This window comes from Homo sapiens, chromosome 19 (genome assembly GCF_000001405.40).
Source record: "Homo sapiens chromosome 19, GRCh38.p14 Primary Assembly".
Taxonomy (NCBI): Eukaryota; Metazoa; Chordata; class Mammalia; order Primates; family Hominidae; genus Homo; species Homo sapiens.
Window position 1 is genome coordinate 7,971,085 of NC_000019.10, and position 23,694 is coordinate 7,994,778.

The 23,694-nt window shown below is 54.5% G+C and overlaps 1 protein-coding gene across 3 annotated transcripts in view, besides 3 other annotated features; it reads right to left on the reverse strand.

Moving 5' to 3' along the window:
• The window catches only part of ELAVL1 (ELAV like RNA binding protein 1), a 47,069-nt gene that overhangs the window by 12,512 nt on the left and 10,863 nt on the right, over nt 1–23,694 (reverse strand). For all 3 annotated transcript variants that reach the window (NM_001419.3, XM_047438384.1, XM_047438383.1), the window contains exons 2-4: nt 20,560–20,747; nt 9,999–10,102; nt 2,641–2,794 (exon numbers count right to left, since the gene is read on the reverse strand). In NM_001419.3, the coding sequence (NP_001410.2) occupies nt 2,641–2,794; nt 9,999–10,102; nt 20,560–20,731 (430 nt within the window). In that variant the 5' untranslated portion in view covers nt 20,732–20,747. The remainder of the gene's footprint in view (nt 1–2,640; nt 2,795–9,998; nt 10,103–20,559; nt 20,748–23,694) is intronic.
• Nucleotides 52–161: an enhancer, noted in NCBI's record as "active region_13904". NCBI's record gives its function as "activates an Ori minimal core promoter by ATAC-STARR-seq in GM12878 lymphoblastoid cells {active_cell/tissue: GM12878}" and the evidence as "EXISTENCE:reporter gene assay evidence [ECO:0000049][PMID:35858748]".
• Nucleotides 212–261: an enhancer, noted in NCBI's record as "active region_13905". NCBI's record gives its function as "activates an Ori minimal core promoter by ATAC-STARR-seq in GM12878 lymphoblastoid cells {active_cell/tissue: GM12878}" and the evidence as "EXISTENCE:reporter gene assay evidence [ECO:0000049][PMID:35858748]".
• Nucleotides 6,701–7,201: an enhancer, noted in NCBI's record as "H3K4me1 hESC enhancer chr19:8042669-8043169 (GRCh37/hg19 assembly coordinates)". NCBI's record gives its function as "activates a minimal SCP1, AML or CMV promoter by ChIP-STARR-seq in primed H9 embryonic stem cells {active_cell/tissue: H9 hESC(primed)}" and the evidence as "EXISTENCE:reporter gene assay evidence [ECO:0000049][PMID:30033119]".

The window sequence follows — 23,694 nt, forward strand, 5'->3', positions numbered from 1 at the left end:
CCTTAGGCCACCTTGAGGTTCACAGCCGACCCTGGGGGCGCAATACTAAGGTGCCCCCAACACCCTGGGAGACACTATCTTGCAGAGGGAAAGGAAGCAATGCCCCCAGCAGCTGTGTGCAGAGGTGAGTTCCCCCTGCCTGTGGCCCGTGTGTGCCTGAGAGACTAGGGAAGGCCCCAAGAGAGTTGGGTGGCTGGAGGCATGTTCTCAGGCATTGGGGGCTCCAAGTGGAGCACAGGCTTCCCTCATCAGGGCCATACTGGACACAGACAGGCCGAGGCAGAGCAGTGCATGTGGGGTCTAGAGGAGGAGGGGAGTGGACTGTGGGCCAGTGAGGTTGGTTCCCCCGGCCCTGGGCCCTGCACAGCCAGCTCAGATGCCCCAGTGCAGAATGGGGGGCAATAAACCCACACACTGGCCCACTGACAGGATCATTCGCTCAGCTGGCACTTAAGTGAGAGGACTTCAGGGACCACAGGAGACTCTTCTGGTGCAGACCAGGGGAGTTTACACCGAGTAACTGGCATCCCCCGACCCTCTCCCCAGAGCAAAGGCAGAATGGCGGCGGCCGTGCGAGTGAGCCCTGTCCTTCGGCACTGCCCGGTGCCAGGGCGCGAGTCTGTGCTAGGCTACAGGAAGCTCCCAGGGCCCCCATGAAGTGCAAAGGGGCCCTTCCCCTCCTCGGGCCCCAGCGGGAACGAAGGCCGGCAGCGGCAGGGCCAGTGCATGCCAGGTGGGGTTCCTACAGCCGGAAAGGAGGAGGAAGAGAGACTGATAAGGCCGCCCACCCCAAAGCACGCAGCTCAGGGGACGCAGGACAATGTGCATGCCCCTCTAGCCTGCAGGCCAGGAAGGCCCCACCTGTGTGCACATGAAAGGCGAGGCTCTGGGCTGCTGGGGGAGTGCTGCTGTTCTCTCAAAAAGAGGTCACCTCAGAGCATGACTTTCTGTGGCCCAACTACTCGGTGTTATTTCAACATCACAGCCAAGGTGCGGCACACACAGTCTGTGTGGGAAGAATATGAAAACCACCCATACAACGCATGGGCCTCACTAGGCTCAGGGAGTGGATTCTTCCCTGCTGGTTAGTTAGCAGACTCCTGCTCCTGCCCCAAACAGAGCTGAGCGATCCTAAATCCCCTCAGGGTGGCCCGAGCTCCCTGTCCCCCAGGCGGGGCCACGTGCAGGGCTTGGCAAAGGATGTGGTGGGGCACTAGTTCCTAGCCTAGTGCGGCAGGCGGGCCAGGCAGTAGGGCCGGAGCACAGCCGTGGGCGTGCACATGTCCCCTGCTCATCTCTGCCTGACGGCATCACACAAAGCCCAGAGCCCACATCCAGTGCCAAGACGGACTGGGAGGGCCAGCAAAGTGGCCAGGATTGCCTGCCCATTAGAGGAATTCGCTGCCATGTGCTCTGTGCACTTTAGATGTGCTCCCCAGAGAGGGGCATCCGAATTCTGGGGATTTGGGCCATCAGACTACTGCACCCCAAATGCCTGCAACGAAAGCCACAGTGGACAAATGTGCAGCAGCCTTTTTTTTTCTTTTTCTTTTTTTTTAAGAAACAGGGTCTTGCTCTGTTGCCCAGGCTGAAGTGTAGTGGCGCGATCACGGCTCACCACAGCTGTGAACTCCTGGGCTCAAGCAATCCTCCCACCTCAGTCTCCTGAGCAGCTGTGATGACATGCCCGCGCCACCGCACCTGGCTGCAGTATCCTTTTTTTTTTTTTTTTTTTTTTTTTTTTTGAGATGAAATCCCGCTCTGCTGCCCAGGCTGGAGTTCAGTGGCGCAATCTCGGCTTGCTGCAATCTCCGCCTCCTGGGGTCCAGGCGATTCTCCTGCCTCAGCCTCCCGAGTAGCTGGGATTACAGGCGCCTGCCACCACACCTGGCTAATTTTTGTATTTTTAGTAGAGATGGGGCTTCACCATGTTGGCCAGGCTGGTCTCAAACTCCTGACCTCAGGTGATCCGTCCACCTCGGCCTCCCAAAGTGCTGGGATTACAGGCGTGAGCCACCACACCCGGCCTGCAGTGTCCTTTTCACCCCATTCATGGGCAAGGCCAGCACATTTGGGTGCCTGAGGGAAGGTGCTAGAATCTCTTGGCGTTTTCACTGTACATGAAATGCTGGCCTAATCCCCAGCTTTTTTTTTTTTTTTTTTTAAGACGGAGTCTCGCTCTGTCACCCACGCTGGAGTGCAGTGGCAAGACCTCGGCTCACTGCAACCTCCGCTTCCCGGGTTCATGCCATTCTCCTGTCTCAGCCTCCCGAGTAGCTGGGACTACAGGCGCCCGCCACCATGCCCAGCTAATTTTTTGTATTTTTAGTAGAGACAGGGTTTCACCATGTTGGTCAGGCTGGTCTCCATCTCCTGACCTCGTGATCCACCCACCTTGGCCTCCCAAAGTGCTGGGATTACAGGCGTGAGCCACCACGCCCAGATATCCCCAGCTTCTTTTAATGCCATCTTACCTCCTCAGCCTCCTCAAACCAAAGCCAACGTCTTCTCATTTTGGTGCTGTCCTCGTTTGCGGAATAACTAATGACATTTAAAATCAAACGGTGATCTGCCTTCCCTAGAAAACCCAGCCCCCACCTAGAGAACACCCTCCCCACGCGTCTGGGGCCCCTCTGGTACCTGTAGTCTGATCCACGAGGACCCGCGAGTTGATGATCCGCCCAAACCGAGAGAACATGTCTTCTACGTCCTTCTGGGTCATGGTCCGCGGGAGCCCGCTGATGTACAAGTTGGCGTCTTTGATCACCTCTGAGCTCGGGCGAGCATACGACACCTTGGGAACACAACCACTTTCCGAGATTAGTACAGGCACGTGGCCAAAGCATTGAGGAGGGTGTTGAATGCTGGGTTAGGAAAAGCCAACACTGTGTGTTAGAAATCATGCAGGGAACGATTATCATCACTGACGCTCACCGCCTGCAGCCGCATGGTGGCAAGCTCACTGAGGGATGGGCCGTGAGCCAGGATGCCTGGCAGTGCTTCCTCACTGGGTGCTCACCATCCTCAAGGAGGCAGGCGTGACTCCTATGTCACAAAGCCCAGCAACTGAGGGCCCGCAGCTTGTGTGTGGCTACCTCTCTGATGTGCTGGACAGTGAGCCGGTGCCAGAGAGGTCCTGGTGCCTGAAAGCAGCCCGTGCTGCAGCGGGCAAGCAAGCTGGGAGCTACTGGGAACACAGGAGACTCCCCTGCCAAAGAGCAAGCTCGCCACAGAAGCCCTGACAGGGGCTGTGAGTTCTGGGAGGACCCCGAGTTTGTACTCAAATCCACTCAAGTGTTCAATATTAAACGACTCAATGCCTTTTGGATTTATATTTTGCAAAATCAAAGAAAACTGAAGAGAACCTTCTGGGTGCTTTGACAAAATGGTACATTCATCATTCGTGTGGAGAGGGTGGTGAGGGGAGCCCGGAGGCCAATGCAAGACAAGGTCTTCGGTGCTTTCTCAGGTTGGCGCTGACGGCCGTGCAGACCCCATGGGCCCAGAAGGAAGAAAAGGACCACAGTGGAACCCCTCTGCCTGTGAAGGGGCAGCCTGGCAGGACTCACAGCCTCGTCAGGAGGCTGGGATATGGAGGAGGGAGCAGGAGATGTGTTCCCGAGAAGGGTGGGGACTTGAACCTGTGCGAAAGGAAGTTCATTCCCTTTGAGTGAGGGGCACAGAACTGATGAGCCAAGGTAACTGAGACCAGAACGCAGGGAGAAGCCGCCACTCAGGAGTCACTGGGCAGAATCTGCGTGCTGAGAACACACACACAGCATCCTCTGAGAAGCTCCTATCATGTTCCAGAGAAGGAACAACAGACATTGCCCCTGCTCATAGGGCAGTGGGCGGCCCAGCAGGGGAACAGGACAGCCCCACGAGGAGAGGAGTGTGGGGCTGGAGGCCAGCTCTGCCTGGTAGCGGTGGGAATCGAGGGAGCATGTCACTACGGAGCCCATGAGGTCTCTGGGGAAGCCGTGCTGCTCCCAGGCCCGGGGCACCTCCATCAGCCTGTGGACAGGAGCTCTGGGGACACTTGCTCACCCCATGATGTGGGTCAGGGGCTGCCAGTGCTGTCCCCAGAGAAAAAGAGGCTGCCTTGGCCCCCAGCCTCCCCTAGTGTCCGGGCTTGCCCTGGCTCCCTGCAGACCTGTCTGGACTGGGGCAGTATTTGGGGGCCTGCCAAACCATGACCCTGGCGCCAGTGGAGCGGAGCTGAGGCTGGCACTGACTGGACCTACTGCCGTCCCTGGATGAAGCCCCAGAGGAGAAGTGCCCTAGAGCCAAATGCTGGGGAAAGCTCTGATGCCTCCCAAGGACAGGTGTCTCCAAGGACCATGGGAACTCTGCTTTCCTCTTCTCTCTGGACACTGTCATGTTCAGTCAGGCTAGAATCAGAACAGCTGGCGCACAGCAGGCGTGCACTGACCTGGGGCTCCCCGGCCCCTCGGCCAGAACCCTCTTTCCTAAGCTCCCAACATCGCTTGCTCTTTGGCCTCAATCAGGTCTTTTTCTGGCTGCCCATTCTCAAGAATTCATCCAGTGAGGGGTTCAATCGTGTTCCCCCCACCCCACAATCCAAATTCATATGCCGAAGTCCTAACCCCTTGGGACCTCAAAACGTGACCTGATTTGGATACAGTCATTGCGGATGTAATCAGTTAAGACGAGGTCACACTGGTATAGGGTGATCTCTAATCAAATGTGACTGATGTCCTTATAAAAGAGGGAAATTTAGGCCAGGTGTGGTGGCGCAGGCCAGTAATCCCACTGTTTTGGAGGCTGAGTGGGAGGATCGCTTGAACCCAAGAGTTCAGCCTGGGCAACATGGCAAGACCCCATCTCTACAAAAAAAATTAGCTGGTCGTGGTGGGGCATACCTCTATTCCCAGCTACTCGGGAGGCTGAGGTAGGAGGATCACCTGAGCTCAGGAGTTTGAGGCTGCAGTGAGCCGTGATCACATCACTGCAGTCCAGCCTGGGTGACTGAGTGAGGTCCTGTCTTTAAAAAAAAAAAAAAAGTATTTTTTTTTGGCTGGGCGCAGTGGCTCATGCCTATAATCCCAGCACTTTGGGAGGCCGAGGCGGGTGGATCACGAGGTCAGGAGATCGAGACCATCCTGGCTAACATGGTGAAACCCCATCTCTACTAAAAATACAAAAAATTAGCCAGGCATGGTGGCAGGCGCCTGTAGTCCCAGCTACTCGGGAGGCTGAGGCAGGAGAATGGCGTGAACCCAGGAGGCGGAGCTTGCAGTGAGCCGAGATCGCGCCACTGCACTCCAGCCTGAGTGACAGAGCAAGACTCCATCTCAAAAAAAAAAAAAGTATTTTTTTTGAAAACATAAATTCAATTTAGAAAGGCGGGAAATGTGGATACAGGCACTCTCACAGGGAGAAGTCTGTGTGAAGATGGAGGCAGACACTGGGGTGATGCTTCTCTAAAGCAAGCAGTGCCAGAGACCACCAGCCTCCACCAGAAGCTGTGAGAGAGGCCTGTGACAGATCCCTTCCCAGTGCCTTCAAGAGAAACCAACCCTGCTGACACCTTGGTCTCGGGCTTCCAGCCTCCAGAACTGTGAGTTGATACCCTTCTTCTGTTGAAGCAACCTGGCCTGTGGGGCTTTGTCATGGCAGCTGAGCAAACTCCTGACCACTCAGCTTGCCACAGATCCCTCCACTGGCATCAACGCCCAGTTCCTCCTGTCCCTATTTAGTTCTTGACTGCGTTGATCATGACCTGACACGCTACATTTTTTTTTTTTTTTTTTAGTTTTTTTTGTAGAGACAGGGTCTTGCTATGTTGCTCAGGTTAGACTTGAACTCCTGGGCTCAAGTGATCCTCCTGCCCCAGCCTCCCAAATGCCCTGGATTACAGGCATGCACCACCCTGCCTGGCATCTATTTTACTTATTTAACTTTTAACTTTGCAAACAGACTCTGTGAGGGCCAGACTTGTGTGTCTCCTGCCATATCCAAAGCACTCAGAGCAGCCTCAGGTGAACGGCAGGCATCTGGGGACCGCTGCTGCGTGAGTGGAGTGCGCAGTAGCCACTGCTGTGAAGAACGCCTGCCTATCTGCACTGCAGTCCCCGGCGCCGGCTTCTGTGGGTGACAGGAGTTCTGCTGTTCTGGTTCCTGAGGCTTGGATCTCACAATGTGCTGGGGAAGCCTCCAGGTGACAATGTTAAGTGCCTGTAGCCACATACAGCACCCGGTTTCACACCCTGGCTTTGCCCCTCCATCCCTCCGTGACCTTGGCAGAGCTGTTTCACTACTCGAAACATCAGCTTCTTCAACCCGAATCTGGGGACCATTTTTTATGGGGCTGTGGAGAGGGCACGTGAGATACAGGATGGAAGGTCTGGCCCCGTCAGCCTTTGATAAGCACTGGCTGTGTGTGGCACACAGGGACCCAGCAGTGATGAAGAGCTGCACACAGAGACTGTGCAGCATCCCAGCAGGGACACTGAGCTGCATCTGGGACATGCTCAGCCTGTCGCCTCCATGCAGGACCACTCCCACTGTGGCTGCCTGGGCTGCTACTATGGGAAAAAGATAGATAGGGATGAGGAGACAGGACTCCTCCTTCTCCACTCTGCCACCAAGGGAATGACATCAGGACCAAAGAGGACAGAGCGGACGGGGTGAAGGCAAGGCACGTCTGCGCTCTCTGTGCAGGGCTGGGGCCTCAGAGCCCAGGATGAGCACAAGGCTCCAGGAGGCCCTGCCTGCAAGGGAGGAGCGGGGCAGAGGCTTGGGGCCAGCCTGCAGTTCCCATGATGTGCCTGGCCACTGGGTCTCCTCTAGGATGCGGCCCTTGCCTTGTGCCCCTGCAGGTCCTGCTGCTCAGAATACCCTCATCTCCACCCTGGTCTGGCTAACTCCCTCTCCTCCTCCAGATCTCAACTCTGGCTTTCTTGAGGGAGCCTCCTCTGGCACTGGCCACTATTATAGGCTCCTAAGCCCACCCTGGGACCACCTTACAGAGAATGGTGGGCACAACTGGGCTCCCCGAGGATGGACCATGGGCCAGTGACCCCCAGCACCTGGCAGAGGGCTTGGCCCTAGCCCGTATTGTCATAAAGGATTTGTCTGGTCTCTGTCCCAGATTCCTAGGAGGAAGCTTGTAAAACTCCTGGAATTTCTGTCTTTGTTACCATAAGGCCTTGGATCCCACTTGAGTTTGTGCTAAGTGATGGCTCAGGATGGGCTCCGACACCAGAAAGACCAAGCATGTGACTAGACGGCTGGGGCTGTGAGCTGGGCGATACCGGCCTGACCTCCAGGGTGGGGGAGGGGAAAGGGGTGCTGGGGATGGAGTTCGATCACATGGCCAAAGAGTCAATCGGTCATGCATTCGTAATGAGCCCAGTAAACACGGCAGACACCAAAGCTCCACGGAGCCTCCTGGCAGGTGCACAGGTCACATGCAGGGAGGACTAGGCACCTGATCCCACCAGGTGCAGACATGTGAGCTCTGTGCTTGGGACCCTCCCTGTGTGGCTCTTCATTTGGCAGGCCCTGAGTTGCAACCTTTATAAACAAACTGTCATCAGAAGTGTGAGTTCCAGGAGTCATTCTAGTGAGTCATGCACCCTGAAGGGGTGGCGGGAACCCTGAATTTGTAGCCAGCTGGTCAAAAGTGCAGGGGCCTGGGGTCCCCCAAAGGGTGACTGGCATCTGAGGTGAGGGCGGTCTTGTTGGGGACCGTGGCCTTAAATGTGCTGGGGCTGTGCTAACTCTGGGTGACTGGTGTCAGAATAGAACTGCAGGACACCAGGTGGCATCAGACCAAGATGCAATAAAATCCAGGATCAGTTGAACGCACAACTCCATCCAGGCCCTTATCACACTGCACAGATCAGTCACCTTTAAACTGGGGATGGCAGGGGATCCGAAGTCCCTCAGTATCAACGTATCTGGCCCAGCACCACACTGGCCAGGGGCTCAGTAAAGGTTTGCGGAATGAACACACTTGGAGCACAGAGGACCCCAGGGCTGCGCCGGGGGAACTGCTAGAGGAGCCAGGCCCAGGGAGCCTCGGGGAGACCTGGGGAGAAATTACTTAGGGCTGTCACGTCCCCATGAGGCTGGCCTGTTTCTGCAGAACTAGGACAGTGGTGTGAAGCCACTGAGAAGCAGACTCTGCCGGCAGAGGGCAGGGCCGCCGAAGGTGAGGCAGGCTTCTGCATGCATGGCCGGGATGACAGGGAGGGACACCTGCCCAGGCCTGGGCCCCTGGGGTCCCGTGAGGCTCTGGCTCCAAACTCAGGCAGCCACTCCAGCCTTTCCCACCAACATCAATCCTAGAGAGGCAAGACAGTCCTGTTTACACACTGGGCACCCGGCTCCTGCATCTGAGTAAACGGAACAGCTGTGCAGGAATAATCAAGCGTTCTGCTCCACACCTCAGCCTGGCTGCCTCAGAAACAAGAACCTTCACACATTTTCTAAATAGGGGAGAGAATTCCTAGATGGGGAGTCCAGGGCCAAGGATAAGCCACCTGGGGCTGGAGGCGAGGAAGGGCTGCCCCTGCTCAGGTGGAATCCCATGGCGCTTGGCTGCCCTCACCAGCCCCCACCGGGGAAGGTGCCTCTGAGGACCTGCACTGGACACGAGGAGGCAGGAGTGGCGCGCCTGCCCTCAGGGAGCCCACTGCACACCACGTCCATGCGGCATGGGGCAGGTCTGGGAGAGCTGCTGCTGAGCCAGGGTTTGGCCACTGAGTAACCAAGATCATGGGGCAGTCTGAAGGCAGGGACAGAGGCCAGCTGTTGGCTGAAGGTGCTGTCACTGTCAGGTCACAGAACCCCTCTTGGTGGGCAGGCAAAAATCCAGGCTCCCAGGCCCACCCTGCAGTGACTCAGGAGGCCCCCCTGTGACCATGGAATCTATATGTTACAGCTCCCCAGGAGGCCCTAATAATTGGCAGGTCCAAGAGGGACCCTTCAGGGTGCCTGATGTGACTCAGGGAGCACCTTTCTCTGGGGCAGGGGAATCTAGCAGATCTAAAGGCTCACACAGGACCACCTCATTCCAAATGGCCTTGGAGCAAGAGAGGGGATTCTGGCCGGGAAGCCCTTACGTCTGTGGGTATCTTGTGAAGGCGGGCACTGAGGGCGGGTGGGTGCAGTGGCTGCTGCAGGAAGCCCAGTTGCAGGGGCCTGCCTGGGGCACGGGAGGCTCAGGGAAGGCTCAGCAGTACCCAGGACTGACAGGAGACCAGGGAGCAAAGGTCGGAAAGACACGAGGCTTGATACAGGTGGCAGGAGCTGCCCACGAACCCAGGAGCCAGAAGGCAGACACGTGGGGACGGGGGTAAGTGGGGCTCGGGGTTGACAGCCCCAGTGCACGAGAGCGCGGGTCAGATGATGAGGACAGAGGAAATCCATCTGTGTGACCTGGAGGACCTGCAACTCATCCCAGGAAGCCACTATGGCCCTGCTGGAGGTGCTGCCCCTGGGCTGCTGCACAGTTGGCTTCCTCAAGTCACCTGCCGCTGTGAAGCCTCCACACACGGCAACTGCCGGTCACACATGGCTATCCTCTGTCTTGTTTACTGTCTGCACCCCCGACCCACGGGGGCACTGAATTTGTCTGTTTTGGTCACTGTGGGGCACACAGTAGGTGCTGAGTGAGGTGCTGGGTGAGGGAAGGGTTACAACTGGCCCCAAGGAGCGCAGAGGGAGCACTGGGCAGGCTGGGGGTGGATGGAGCTGTCCAGGGATGGGAACACAGAGAGCCAGGCAGGAGAGACGACAGGGGAGGCCTGGGAGCTGACGCAACCTGGGGGCACCCTGGGCGGGGAGTGGGTCCTGAGACACTCATGTAAGGCCTGGGTCAGATACACCTGACCAGGGTATCTGATGGGAGCCCCCGAGGAGCGGCTGTGCTCATAGTCCCTTGGAGAGTGACTGTGAGGCTGGGCGGGGCTCAGCACAGACCTGTGCCCAGGGCAGGAATGGATGCGGTGGTGATCAGATCCCTTTACCTTAATGGTTTTTGACTGGAGCCTCAAGCCGTTCAGCGTGTTGATCGCTCTCTCTGCATCCTTCGCGGTCACGTAGTTCACAAAGCCATAGCCCAAGCTGTGTCCTGTGCAAGAGAACATGAAGACATTGGTAAGCCAACCGTCTGCGAGTGAGGGACAGGGAGGTCGGGAAGCACTATATCTGCCTGGCCTTTGGGAAATGGGATTACAGGTGCTAGCAAACTTTATTTTCTTTGGCAAACACGTACATTTTCTGCAATGAACACAGGTTCCTTTTTTTTTTTTTTTTTAAAGAGATAGGATCTTGCTCTGTCACCCAGGGTGGAGTCCAGCGCTGTGATCACAGCTCACCGCCACCTCAAATTCTTGGGCTCAAGACAGCCTCCCACCTCAGCCTCCAGAGTATCTGGGACTACAGGCCCGCTCCAGCAGGCCCAAGCTAATTGTTAAAATTATTTTTAGAGATGGGGTCTCACTATGTCACCCAGGCTGGTCTAAAACTTCTGGGCTCAAGCAATCCTCCCACCTCGGCCCCACCTCGACCTCCCAAAGTGTTGGGATTACAGATGTGAGCCACTGAGCCTGGCCAAGAGGTTTTACTTTTGTAATTAAAATAACCCCAAAAGTTATTTACAAAGGAGTATTTTTTAAAAATACTGTGCTACGGACAGCATCTTTCTGAAAGACCAGTCCCGTGGGTGCCGGCCGCTCTGTGGGGCCTGGGTGGTGAGGATGAGGAAGGCCACGGCAGTGGACAGGCTGGTGGGACCCCAGTTTGTGTCACTGCTGTTTCTCTGCCACTTCCTTGTCCAGAGCAGGAGGGCCTGCTGGCACCACCCACCACCAGTTCCATTTACCTTTCCAAGCCTGAGACCAGCCCGACCCCGCTGTGGGGCAGAAGAGTCCAGGGAGAGGCCAGGGGCTGAGAATCCCCAGCCCTGCCAGACAGTGGGGGAGAACCAGGTTCACAGGCAGATGTCCCTGTACCCCCTTTGTGAAACACTCAGCACAGGTACAAGTGAACACCCACTCACTGGATACCATGGGAGGGACTCGGGAGGGCAAGGGCAGGACCAGAGGGGACAGCCTCTGGGGTCAGGGTTCAGAAGGAGCTTCACAGGACATTTGGCCAAATGCTCTCACTAAAGGGGAAGTGAGGAGGCACAGGGAAGAGCGCAATCCCCGTCTCCCGCAGCTTATCCATGCACTTGCAAGGCTGCTGAACATCTGCTGTGGGCCTGAGCCTCACCCAGCACTGCTCCATTCCCCCAGCCGGCAGAGCGCGACAACGAGCAGGTCACCGAACAGGAGGTGGCCTGGAGCCCCACTGAGGCAGAGATCCTCCTGGCAGCTGGGCCAGGGACATCCAGATCCATCTCACCGACAGCAAGATTACAAATCCAGCAGAGAGCCTAACCCAGGTTTGCCACTTTCTTTTTAAAATGAATTTTATTTTTCAGAACAGTTTTAGGTTTACAGAAAAATTACAAGGATAATACCAAGTTCCCATATGGCCCCCTCCCAGTTTCCCCTATGGGTACCACCGCAAGTGAGTATGAAATGCTGGTGACGATGAATGTTCCCATTACCTCTAGTCCACGCCCCAGCCGCTTCCTTAGTCTTTCCCTCATGTTCTTTCCTGCCCCAGGACCTCATCCAGGATCCCACGTGACATTTAGCAGTCACATCCCCTCAGGCTCCTCTCGACTATGACAGTTTCTTGTTTCTCGTGACTGTGACGGTTTTGAGGACTGGTCGGACATCCCGTAGACTCTCGATTGGGTTTGCTGGAGTCTGTCACAGCTGGAGCGCCCTTCTCGTCACACGATGTCAAGGGCACAGGCCGTCAACGTGACTTATGGCTGCTGGTGCTGACCGTGATCACTGGGCCGAGGCAGTCAGTTTGCCAGGTTTCTTGGCTGTAAAGTGACTCCCACCCCTTTCCACACTGCCCTCCGCGGAAGGAAGTCAGGACGCCCAGCCCACACTTAAGGCATGGCCCTGACGTAGCAGCTATAGAAATGACGTGCAGTTAGTTCTGCATGGGGCGCTCTCTTTCCTAAAGAACAAAACCAAAATCAGATCCTCTAGACTCGTATTTCTAATAAAACTCCTCAGGGCTAAGAGACTCAGCTCTGGGGCCCTGGACAAAGTGAGAACCCAGAGCACCAAGACCGTAGGACCAGGCCCGTGTGGAGCGAATTGGGATCGCAGCTTGGAGAACAAGCAACGGAGCAGTGCAGCCAGGTCAGGACTGCCAGGGCCTCTGCAAGTGCTCCAGATGGCAGTGTGAAACTGGCAGGTGTCCCTGCACCCCCTTTGTGACACACTCAGCACACGTACAAGCGAATACCCACTCACTGGACACCACGGGAGGGACTCGGGATGGCAAGGGCAGGACCAGAGGGGACAGCCTCTGGGGTCAGGGATTCCTGTGATATGGATTCTTGACCACGACGCCAGCCTGGCTGGGTTTTTTTCACTCCTGAACACCTGCTCTCGAAGTGCTCAGCGCCTTCTGCATCCGGGCCCCATCTTTCTGCTCCATAAACAAGCCTGGACCACCTGCCTCCTTGGCTGCGGCGCCTCAGGCAGCCTAAGTGCTGCTTGAGAAAGTCACACACTGATAGGGACTCGAGCACCAATGCCCGTTCCTGTGTCCTCAGCCACAGCCGGTTCCTCTCAACACAGAAACATGGTCCCTGCTTGGACCAAGTCCCTGCTTCCTCATCTCCCAGGTGCTGGGTGATCCTGACTGGTCCCCTAGGATGGTCACTGCCCTGGGGACCGTTTCAGGATGTGTCCCCTGAGCTTTCGGCAGCTCAGGGTAGGGCCTACCCTCTTGGGACACCCCTCCTCCAGGATGTGGAAACCACACCAGGTTTCCGTCTCCCTGGCTGTCCCTCCTCAGGCTCCTCACTCCCTGTCCATTCCATGGAGACCCATGGGCCCTGAGGACCCACCTTTGGCCCTTGTCTCTGCCACATGCTCTTCCTCACCACACATGCCCACACCTGCCAACATCACCGAGGGAGTCGCACACCCCTGGGCTGCCCGTCACCTTCCATGGTCAAGCTCTTCTCTGTCCTCAAGGAGCTGACGCATTAACTGAGCACCTACTATGTGTCAGGCCCTGTGCTTGGCTGGGAGTTAGTGATGCATGACAGAGGACGGTCGCTGCCATCATGAAAGCCATCACATCCCTGGGGGCAAGTCAGACAACATGGTGGTGAGAAACTGACAAGCATTAAGACAGGGGTCAGGAGGGCCCGTCGCAGAGGAGATATTTTAAACCTCTGCGTGGCTGACGTGAGCATTCCAGACAGAAGAGCAGGTGCCAAGTCTCCGAGGCAGAGACAATGCCAGTGTATTCCCAGAAAGTAGAGGTGGCCCGTGTGGCAAGGGCCTAGGAAGTGGCCACTGGCAGCAGGGCAGAGCCAGTGTGGAGCCAGCGGGCTGGTGATCTAATCCAGATGGGAGATGCAGGCTATGTGCACAGGCCAGGGCAGTAGAGGAATGCCCCACCCAGAGGACAGGTAGTGGGGGCAGGCCCCTGATCTCCCTACAGGCTGAGCCTTGTGAGTCAAGGCCTGGCTTCATCCCCAGAATCTGCTCTCCTCTCTGTGGTAGGTGCCTGGAGGCAGCAGGAAGGCAGGCAGGTGAGGGATGAAGGTGCCCTGGTTTCCACCCGCTGGGTGAGGCCATCACTGGAAGGGCTTTGTCCAGCACCTGACCACCCACCTCCACCTTTGCCTCCAATAGAAACAAATCTGGACAGCTTTCTAAGCCACCACTGACTGCCCAGGCGACACCCCCAACCAATGAAGTCAGAAAAGGAGGAGGTGGGGGGGTTGCCAGTTGGCCTCAGTGGTTTTAAGTCAGGGTCTCAGTCTGTTGCCAAGACTCGGCTCACTGCAACCTCTGCCTCCTAGGCTCAGGCGATGCTCCCACCTCAGCCCCCCAAGTAGCTGGGACTAGAGGGGCACGCCACCATGCCCAGCTAATTTTTTAATTTTTTGTAGAGATGGGGTTTCGCCATGTTGCCCAGGTTGGTCTCAAACTCCTGAGCTCAAGCGATCCTCCCACCTTGGCCTCCCAAAGTGCTGGGATTATAGGCGTGCGCCACCGCGCCCAGCCTCCTCAGTGGTTTTTAAAGCTCCCTAGTGATTCCAGTGCATGAGGGGCATGGGGCTTCCCATGGTTATGCAGAGGAGAGGAGGCCTCCAGAGGAGAAGTGCAAACGGGCCCCCAAGTTACTGTTTCTCCAGGCAGGGTCCACAAGCCACCTGCACCAGGGGCATCTGGAGTTCAAGGCAACAACTTGGCTCCCTAGATACCCCTACCCCATCCCGGGACCCAGGATGTCAGGCAGGTGTGGGAATCCACATCCCCAAACTCCTTACAGATGCTCCTCCTGCCCACCAGTGGCAGAGCTTGCCAAAGCCCCTGCCTGGAGATGGGAGATCAGCCCTGAGACAGGAGGCCTGAGGGTTTGCGAGGGAGCAGGAGGACAGGGAGCCAAGCTCAGAGGGGCCTGGCTCCTGCACAGGCCGTGGTGGGCCTGCCTGGTGTCAGTGCTCGGGGGGCAAACGGGGCCCCTGGGATGGGAGATGGGATGGAGAGGGTGTGGGTGGGAGATACGGGGAAGCAGGAAGGAGACTGGCAGGGAGGAATGCAGGATGCAGAACCCGGGAGTGAAATGCAGGGCTGTCCCAGAGGCCAGTGCATGCCCGGCTCTCACTTCCCTCAACTGGAGGAAGAGCCTCCTCACCCTTTCTGGCCACAAGGCAGGGTCTGAGAGTCACATTTCCCCAAGTATCCTGATGCTGCTGCTGGCCCAGGGACTGTACCCTGAAAGCTGCTGCCTGGAGAAGACAAAGCTGCCTCTGCGGGGAGCACCATGGTTGCCTTACTGGGCACCCATACACCGCCCACACTGGGCAAACACTGGCCAGTGCTCTCGAACTTCCAAACACATTTCTCCCTCTCTTTGGATGAGGGTTAAGACTGGAGAGCTGCTTCCTTGTCTTATGCTGCCAGACACAATGCTTCCATCCCTCCATGCTTCTTGCAGCTGGAAGCGCCCTGACCTGACACGGGGTGCAGGGCTGAGGGGGCGAGTGCCCTGTGGGTGAAGCCCTCCTCTGCACCGTGAGGGCAGGTCCCGTGAGTTCTCTCTTTAAAGGCTCAAGGGAAGACCTCACTGAGAGACAGAGACTGGAGGTGGAGACTGAATTAATTCAGCAATAAATAAGAAACAGCAAAGGTCTGCAAAAGAAAAGAAACAGGCGAAGGACAAGAAGGGTATTTTACAAAAGTAGTACAAACAACCACTAAATAGAAACAGTGATGAACTTCACTCGAAATAGGAATCACCCTGATCGGATGTCGCTCGTCCCTCACAGGGTGGCAAAGGTGAGAAATCCTGCCAAGGCTAGCGGATAGCAGGGCTGGACAGAAGGAAGGGTGAACTAAGCGTCCCCTAGAGAGCGAGTTAGCGACAGGGACCAAGAGCCTTTAAAAGGTGCGCTCTCCCATCTGCCGCTTCACCGGCAGGAAGACTTTCTATGGAAATAACCAGTGAGCAAAGATTTGTGCCAGGACATTTATGTCAGCAGGGCTTTCAAATATCAACAAATGGGAAGCAGAATACTATGCGACCGATGATGATGGGATCGCGAGATGTTCAGCGAAGTGGAAAAATGTCCAGATACAGGAAGGGAAGTTTATCCACAGCCTGAGAGAAGAGCCCATTCTGTAGAAGTACGTGGCTGCTTATGGCCATGAATACGTAAAGAAAATCATTTGGAGGGACATGTGCCCAAAAGCTAACAGCGGTATGATTGTGGGTGATTTTTTGTTTGTTTGTTTCTGCTTGGCTCATGCTTAAGTTTTTTTTTCTGTGAGGAGCAAACATGACTCATATTAAGAAAAAAGCCATCAGGCTGGGAAAGTCCGGAAGGACATTCCTGCAGAGGGAACAGTGTTCAGAGAATCACAAGCGCCCAAGAGTAGAGCCTGACCGGGGGGTGCCGGGGGGGGGGGAGGGTGCAGCAAGTGGGGAGAGGGGGCAGGCGCCCAGGGGTGTCCCTACCCTCTTGGGACACCCCCTCCTCCGGGATGTGGTTAAAGCCTTGGGCAGCGGTGTGGGCTTTAACCCGACCAGAGATATACAGCAAGACAGAAGCCGTGAATGGGGCTGCAGCCTGGTGGCTCCGGCATGACAGGTCATCCATGAGGGTAGAGGGCTGACTCCTTCTGATCCCCCGAGGGACATATGGGGCCACTGTGGAGAGACCAGACACTGGGGCAGGGCTGCCCAGGAAGGCAGCGGGCAGGACCACCGGGCGCTGCAGTGGCCTCCTTAGCTGGTGTTTGTGGGTGGAACAGCCAACAACCAACCAACGCCATATCCCCAACATAGGGACCAGGGCCAGGCCAGCCAGAAACATTCCGAGTCTTGAGAGCAGCACATGGGGCAGTCCCTTCCTCCCAGCCATCATCACGCCCCTCCTTCCTCCCGCCACCAGTGCCCAGCCCATGGCTGGCACTCAACCAGTATTTGCTGAATGATGATCTGCACTCTCCCCCATCCCCAGCACCACTCATTCATTCATTCCTTCCTTCACTCTGCAAACACCGACTGGCTATGTCTAGGGCTACGGAGATTAACAAAGCTCCTCCCTCCAGGAGAGATACTCATGTGCTGGACCAGAAAGCTCCAGCTCAGTGCCAGGTGGAAACCCCACAGTGCAGGTCGGCCCAGGTGCCATAGGAACCCACAGCGGAGCATCTGACACTTGGGCCAAGGGAGGCCTCCTTAAGCAAACACGACCAGGACCTGAACGGTTTGAGGAGGGGAGTGACAGGGTCACATGCGGGCTGTCAAACAGGCCCCTCTGCTGCAGTGAGGACAGTGGTCTTCAGGGAGCATAGGAGGCCAGTTAAGAGGCCAAAACGACAGTGCAGGCCACCAGCAGTGGTGTCCTGGGCTAGAATGGTGGCTGAGGAGAGAGGGGAAAGGGATGGACTGAAGCAACACCCAGGAGGATGAGAGCCAAGGACACGCCTAGATTTCTGAGCAGAGCTACCAAGTGGATGGTGGTGCCATCGGCTAAGGTGGGGACAACTGGAAACGAGTGGCTGGCTTTAGGGAGAGTCAGGTCAGTTAGGAATATACTGAATTTAAGGGGCCGAGGGCTTCTGGAGCTCAGGACAGCCTTCTGGTCAAAAAGGAGGTGGCAGACAGAGGGCAGCTGGGAGCCATGAGGTGACTCTGCCCACCGTGAGTGTCAGCTTTGGAAGAAGAGGAGAATGACATAACCCTCTGAGCATAACCCTCTGGCATAACCGGCTGAGTCAAAGGCTGGGGAAAGGCGCTAAAGACAGATGGGGCATGGCCTCAGGGGCAGTTAGACAGGTGGGAGGAGGAGGTGCTCCTGAAAGCCAATGGGAGAGGATGCTTCTGGAAGGAGGTGGAGACAGGGAACAGGACAGTATGTGGGTGGGAGGCCAACACACACAGCAGTGGCTCTCGCTAGGGGAGACTCTGCCTCCCAGGGGACATGCGGCAATGTCAGGACATTTTTGGGTTTCACCACTGGGATGTCACTACTGGGACCACGTGGGTGGAGGCCAGGGATGCTGCTCAACACCCTGCAGTGTCCAGTGCGGCGTCCAGCCCTGACATCAGGAGCCACAGATGTGGAGGAACTCCGAGCTAGAGGAAGCTGGAAGTCTGGAAGGAATTCCTTTCAAGACACTCGAAGCCCAGGAAAAGTGGGCACTTGGAGAGCCTGAGGCTCTTGGGAAGCCGGGAAGGGAAGGGAAGGGAGGATCGGGGCTGGAGAGCTGGAGACGCTATTAGTTCCACTGCGAAGCGGGAGGTGGTCATCAGCTGAGGGTGAAGGGGGTGGTCAGAGGACCGAGGAGGGTAAACACGGGGAAATGGCTGCTGTGGGGCTCGGAGACACCCGTGTTGTGAGCTGAGCTAGGCCAGGGATCAGATTCGCCGGGGTGCCTGCCTGGCCGGGTGAGAGGCTGTCTTGGGAGGCTGGGAGAAAGCCGTTGGCTGGGGAGAGGGGTGGTGAGACCTAGCGCCGTGCCCCGGGCCCTGCCAGCGAAGAGGTTTGCCCACACTGGCGGCAGGCTGAGCAAAGCCAGGTTGCAGCATGTTCTCCGTAAAGCTCCAGTCACTTGAAGGGCTGCTAACAAGAGGCTGGGCCAAGATGAAAGCCCAGGCCCAGCCACTCCACAACTCCTGGTGCGCCAGTTACTAACTACTGTCCAAAGATAAGACAGGGCTCACCTCCGAACTGAAATAATTTCCAAATTACACTTTTGCAGCCTTCACTGATTCTCAAAACCAGTTCTCTCCAGACTGAGCCAAATCTAGGTGTTCCTTTAGCATAGCTCACATTCCTGTGAAAACCACAAGGGAACAGACAAAGAAGTCAGGTTGCAGGAGAATAACTGCAAATTCCATGGGAATGCTTGCAATATCTCTGGTGCTCAGGAATATCAAGGAAAATTCCCTTCCACCAGAAAGAGGAAAAAGGTGAGAATTGTTAGTGGCACAGGAGAATTTTAAAACCCTTCTCTTATTTAGGATGGTCTCCTGGAGCAGGAGAGAGATGCTGGCTTCTAGAACATTCTAACACTGCTCAAGTTTGTATACTGTGTAAAATCCCCATTGAGAAGGCGTTTATTAAATCAGACTCTTGGAGTTGGAAGGAGAGAAGGCTTTCTTATTCAGTGCCTGCATCTGAAGAGCTAATTCCCTGTAGAGCGGCCAGACAGGCTCTTTGGGAGTCATGTGGGGGTCAGGTGTCTTAAGGTTACTGGGGAAATGTTGAAGATAAAGTGCAATGATGGGTACATCAGGTTCAACACATCACTCTATGTTCATGTATGCCTGAAATGTTTCATAATAGAAACTTTTGTTAACTTTTTATTTTTGAGACAGAGTCTCACTCTGTTGCCCACACTGGAGTGCAGTGGCACAATCTCAGCTCATTGCAACCTCCGCCTCCCAGGTTCAAGTGATTCTCCTGCCTCGGCCTCTTGAGTAGCTGGGATTATAGGCGTGCGCCACCACGCCTGGCTAATTTTTGAATTTTAGTATAGACAGGGTTTCACCATGTTGGCCAGGCTGGTCTCGAACTCCTGACCTCAGGTGATCTGCCTGCCTTGACCTCCCAAAGTGCTGGGATTATAGGCATGAGCCACCGTGCCCAGCATTCAACTTTTAAATTAGTTTTTTTTTTTTTTGAGACAAGGTCTCACTATGTTGCCCAGGCTAAAGTGTAGAAGACACTTTAGTACCAAGTGGTACTTGGTAAGGTGCAATCTCAGCTCACTGCAACCTCAACCCCCGAGACTCAAGCAATTCTCCTGCCTCAGCGCCCCCAAATAGCCAGGACCACAGATGCGGGCCACCACGCCCAGCTAAGTTTTTGTATTTTTCGTAAAGATGGGGTTTCACCATGTTGCCCAGGCTGGTCTTGAACTTCTGAGCAAGTGATCCTCCCACCTCGACCTCCCAAAGTGCTGGGATTATAGGTGTGAGCCACTGTGCCCAGCCTGAAGTGAGTTTTCAGTATAGGGAATCACAGTCCCCAAATCCAGGGTGGCAGACAGAGCCCCGAGAGGACTGGCCGCTCCTTGGCTTCCTAAAGCAGGGCGGAGACAGAAAGGAAGGCAGGGGGGTAGGGGTGGGTAGAGGGAAGAGGAGGAAGAGGGGCCATTGGGAGAGGAGGAGGAGGAGAGCTCCGCACATGGTCTGTCCGTAATTCTCTCCCGAGTCCTTGAAGCCATGCTCTCAGAATGGAGGCCACTCTGTAAGGAAGGCCTTCACAAGTGCCAGGACCTCTGCAAACACCTACGAGGTAGGGACCACCAGGATGTAGAAGCCACAATCTCCACATTCCGGATGGGGACACAAAGGCTTAGAAGTCCCACTGTGAGGGAGTGGAACAGCAGGGCTTTTAGCTGCCAGGCTCCTGCCCCTCTGAGAGTTCAAGCTCAGCATGGTGCAGAAGTTCAAGTTGATGGTGTTGACAGTAGACAGAGCAGCCCAAACATAACGAAGGGCTGTCCACAAGGTCCTCGGTGTTCTGCTGACCTGGGCCTGACCAAGAGTGGGGGCCTGGACAGACAGGGGCAGGCCTACCTGCACCTGCCCTGGACAGTACACTCGCCAGGGTCCCTTCCACACGTGGGACCCAATCAATCTGCCCAGGCCAAGCCAGGTCAGGCTGTGGTTCTCCAGCCCCTTCCAGCTCTCAGAATGCCCTGTCTCTGGTTCCTTCCTCTCCTCCCACTGTCTTATTTTGTACATGCTCTCTGTCTTACAATGAATTTTTCCTCTTTTGGGAACTTATGTCCGATCTTATACAAGAGCAATGGACAGAGTTTGAAATAAAAATGAAACTTCACAGCCATCGTTTCAAGGCTGTAGTTATCCTGCACTGAGGAATGCCACAGAGTCACAGGCAAAGGAGACAGTGCCCAAAGGATGGCCACCAATACCCGGTTTACTAAAACGCCTCCATTTCTTTACCTGCTACTTTATCCCGAATAAGTTTTGCAGATTCAACTTCACCAATGCTGCTGAACAGGCTTCGTAACTCATCCTGGGTCATGTTCTGAGGGAGGTAGTTGACGATCAAATTCGTTCTCCCGATGTCACCCCTGCAGTCTTCGGCCATGTGGTCTTCATAACCATTAGACATTGTATTTTTCAAAAATCTGCCAAGAGAAAAAGAGCAAGTAAATTCAAAATGTTCATATTGCAGTATATGAAGGCAAAACTAGTAACTGCATTTGCACTTAGAGATTTTCTTTCTTTCTTTTTTTTTTTTTTTGTTTTGTTTTTGAGACAGAGTCTCACTCTGTCACCCAGGCTGGAGTGCAGTGGCACAATCTCGGCTTACTGCAACCTCTGCGTCCCAGGTTCAAGTGATTCTCCTACCTCAGCCTCCTGAGTAGCTGGGATTACAGGCGTCTGCCACCATGCCCAGCTAATTTTTGTATTTTTAGTAGAGACGGGGTTTCGTCGTGTTGGCCAGGCTGGTCTCAAACTCCTGAACTCAGGTGATCCACCTGCCTCGGCCTCCCAAAGTGCTGGGATTAGAGGCATGAGCCACAGCACCTGGCCCTGCACTTAGAGATTCTTTTCTATGCTGCATGTTAACTTACAGCCACACAAAAATCTGCACATGGATGTTTACAGCGGCTTCACTCATAATTGCCAAAACCTGGAAGCAACCAGGATCTCCTCCAATGGGTGAATGAATGAACAGACTCCATTCATGTGGTTCAGCTGCACAGGGGCATATTTTTTGATGATAAAAAGAAATGAGCTATTAAGCTAGGAAAGACATTTAAAGGAACTTTAAATGTATACTGTTAAGTGATACACTGTATGATTCCAACTCTATGACCTTCTGGAAGAGGCACACTACAGAGAAAAAGATCAATGGTTGCCAGCGATGCAGGTCGGCGTGGGGGGGACAACAAATAGTGGAACACGGGATTGTCAGGGTTTTAGGGCAGTGAAACTATTTTGCATGATATATAGTGGTGGATGTGACAATACATGTTTGTCAAAACCCACAGAATGAACAATATACAGAGTGAACTCTAATCTGAATTACGTGCTTTAGTTACTAATAATGTGTCAATATTGATTCACCAAGAATAACAGAGGTACCATGTGAATGTGAGATGCTAATAATGGGTGTGGCGGCGCCATCACAGCTCACAGCAGCCAAGGCTCCTGGGAGATCCTCAAGCGATCCTCACACCTCAGCCTCCTGAGTAGCTGGGAACGCAGGCATGTGCCACCACGCCCGGCTGATTTTTAAAACTTTTTGTAGAGATGGTATCTTGCCCAGGTTAATTTTGAACTCCTGGCCTCAAGTAATCCTTCCATCTCACCCTCCCAAAGTGCTAGGATTACGGGCATGAGCCACTGTGTCCGGCTTCTTTCTATTTAAAAAAAATTTTATTCAGTCAATACTTCATTGTAATGCTACAGAACGAGTGTTCTCCACAATTTTTCTGTAAACCTAAAACTGCTCTAAAAAATAGTCTATGGACACAAAACAGAACAACTCCAAGTTCACTAAGAGGGCTTCGGAGAGACCTACAAACAATTCCAGCACCACAATTTAAGATCCTGTAAAAAAGCCTTTGGGTTGTCTCTCGAGAGAATTCCAGATTTCCGATTGCTTTCTCCCCATGTCCAGAGCCTGTGGGGTGTACCTGAACCCCACCCCTGGACACCCTGCTGCTGAGGGGGCAGGTAGGCAATGGTCCTCTGCACCTGTTTATTCCCAAAGACACAGTGAGTGAGCTGGAAAGAGGTGAGGGTTTCTCTACCAGTCAGAGGAACTTGGTCTTCACAGTTTGCAGGCTTTGAAATGTCTTTCTCAGTTGCTGAAGTCTTTCCTTTCAGTGATAAACATCAGAGCCAGTGATGACTTTGGAGAAGAGTCCAGATCAATGCGGCCAAGTATGCCGAGCCCGCCCTGCTGAAAGTGCGCCGCACACTGGGCTCACTTCTCAGAGGCCCCTCATCCCTGCCTCTAAACACACAGGTAGTCATCCCTGTGGATGGCCACCCGCCTGGAGGTCTCGGTGAGAGCCCATCCCTTTCCCCAGATCCCTGTTGCTCAATTCTGTTATGTTTGAACACCCAGTGCCCACGGTCATGCGCCTTTGGCCTTCTTTAAAAATAGCCTTGCCAGCAGTTACATAAAAATCTGAACACACCTCTCATGTGGAGATTTCCTACCTACTCCCTGAATCAACGCCGAGGGAAGAATTAGGTCTGGTTTCTTTCTTCCTGGTAGAAACATCCAGGTCTTCCCTACCCTCCTACTAGTCTCAGACAATGTGGAAAATCAGTACAATTTCCTAACATTTCTTTTATTTGAGGATGTCCTATGCTCCCTGCTCTTTAAAAAGTAGGTTAGCATCAAAAGCCATAGAAAAAAAGACTGAAAAGTGAGACTCCATGAAATTAAAAACCTCTGTACAGCAAAAGGCATCACAGACCTAGACGAAGAGGAGTAGCCTAGAGAAAAGATTCACTGCATATTCTATTATTTAGACCTGTGGTTTTCACACTGGGCCATTCTGCCCCCAAGGGGACACAGGGCAATGTCTGGAGACATTTTTGGTTACTGTGACTTGGTCAGGGCCAGGGGTCGGGGGAGGGGGTGCTACTGACACCTGGTGGGTAGAAGTCAGAGAGCTGTAAAGCATCCTTCAGGGCACAGGACGGCCCCACAACCAAGAATTATCTAACCCCAAATGTCAGTACTGCCGAGGTTGGGAAAACTTGATTCGGAACATCTACAAATTGGTAAGGGATAAAAGAAGAGACGTAACCAAGAGGGAAGTAGGCAAAGGATGTGAGCAGCAATTTATAAAGGCCTTAAATTCAAATGGCTCGTAAGTCCAGAAAAAGACACTGAACTTCATCTTCGTGAACAATGAGGAAAATGCAAAAGAAAACCAGATGCTATTTTCTGCCAGTCACATGGAATAAAATCCAGCGCAAGATCACCTGCTACTGATCTGAGTATGAGATGGTAGAACCTTCTGACTCACAACTGCAGGATCTTTCTACAGAAATAATCACGCAAGTGCAGGAGTTCAAGACCAGTCTGGACAACAACGTGAGACC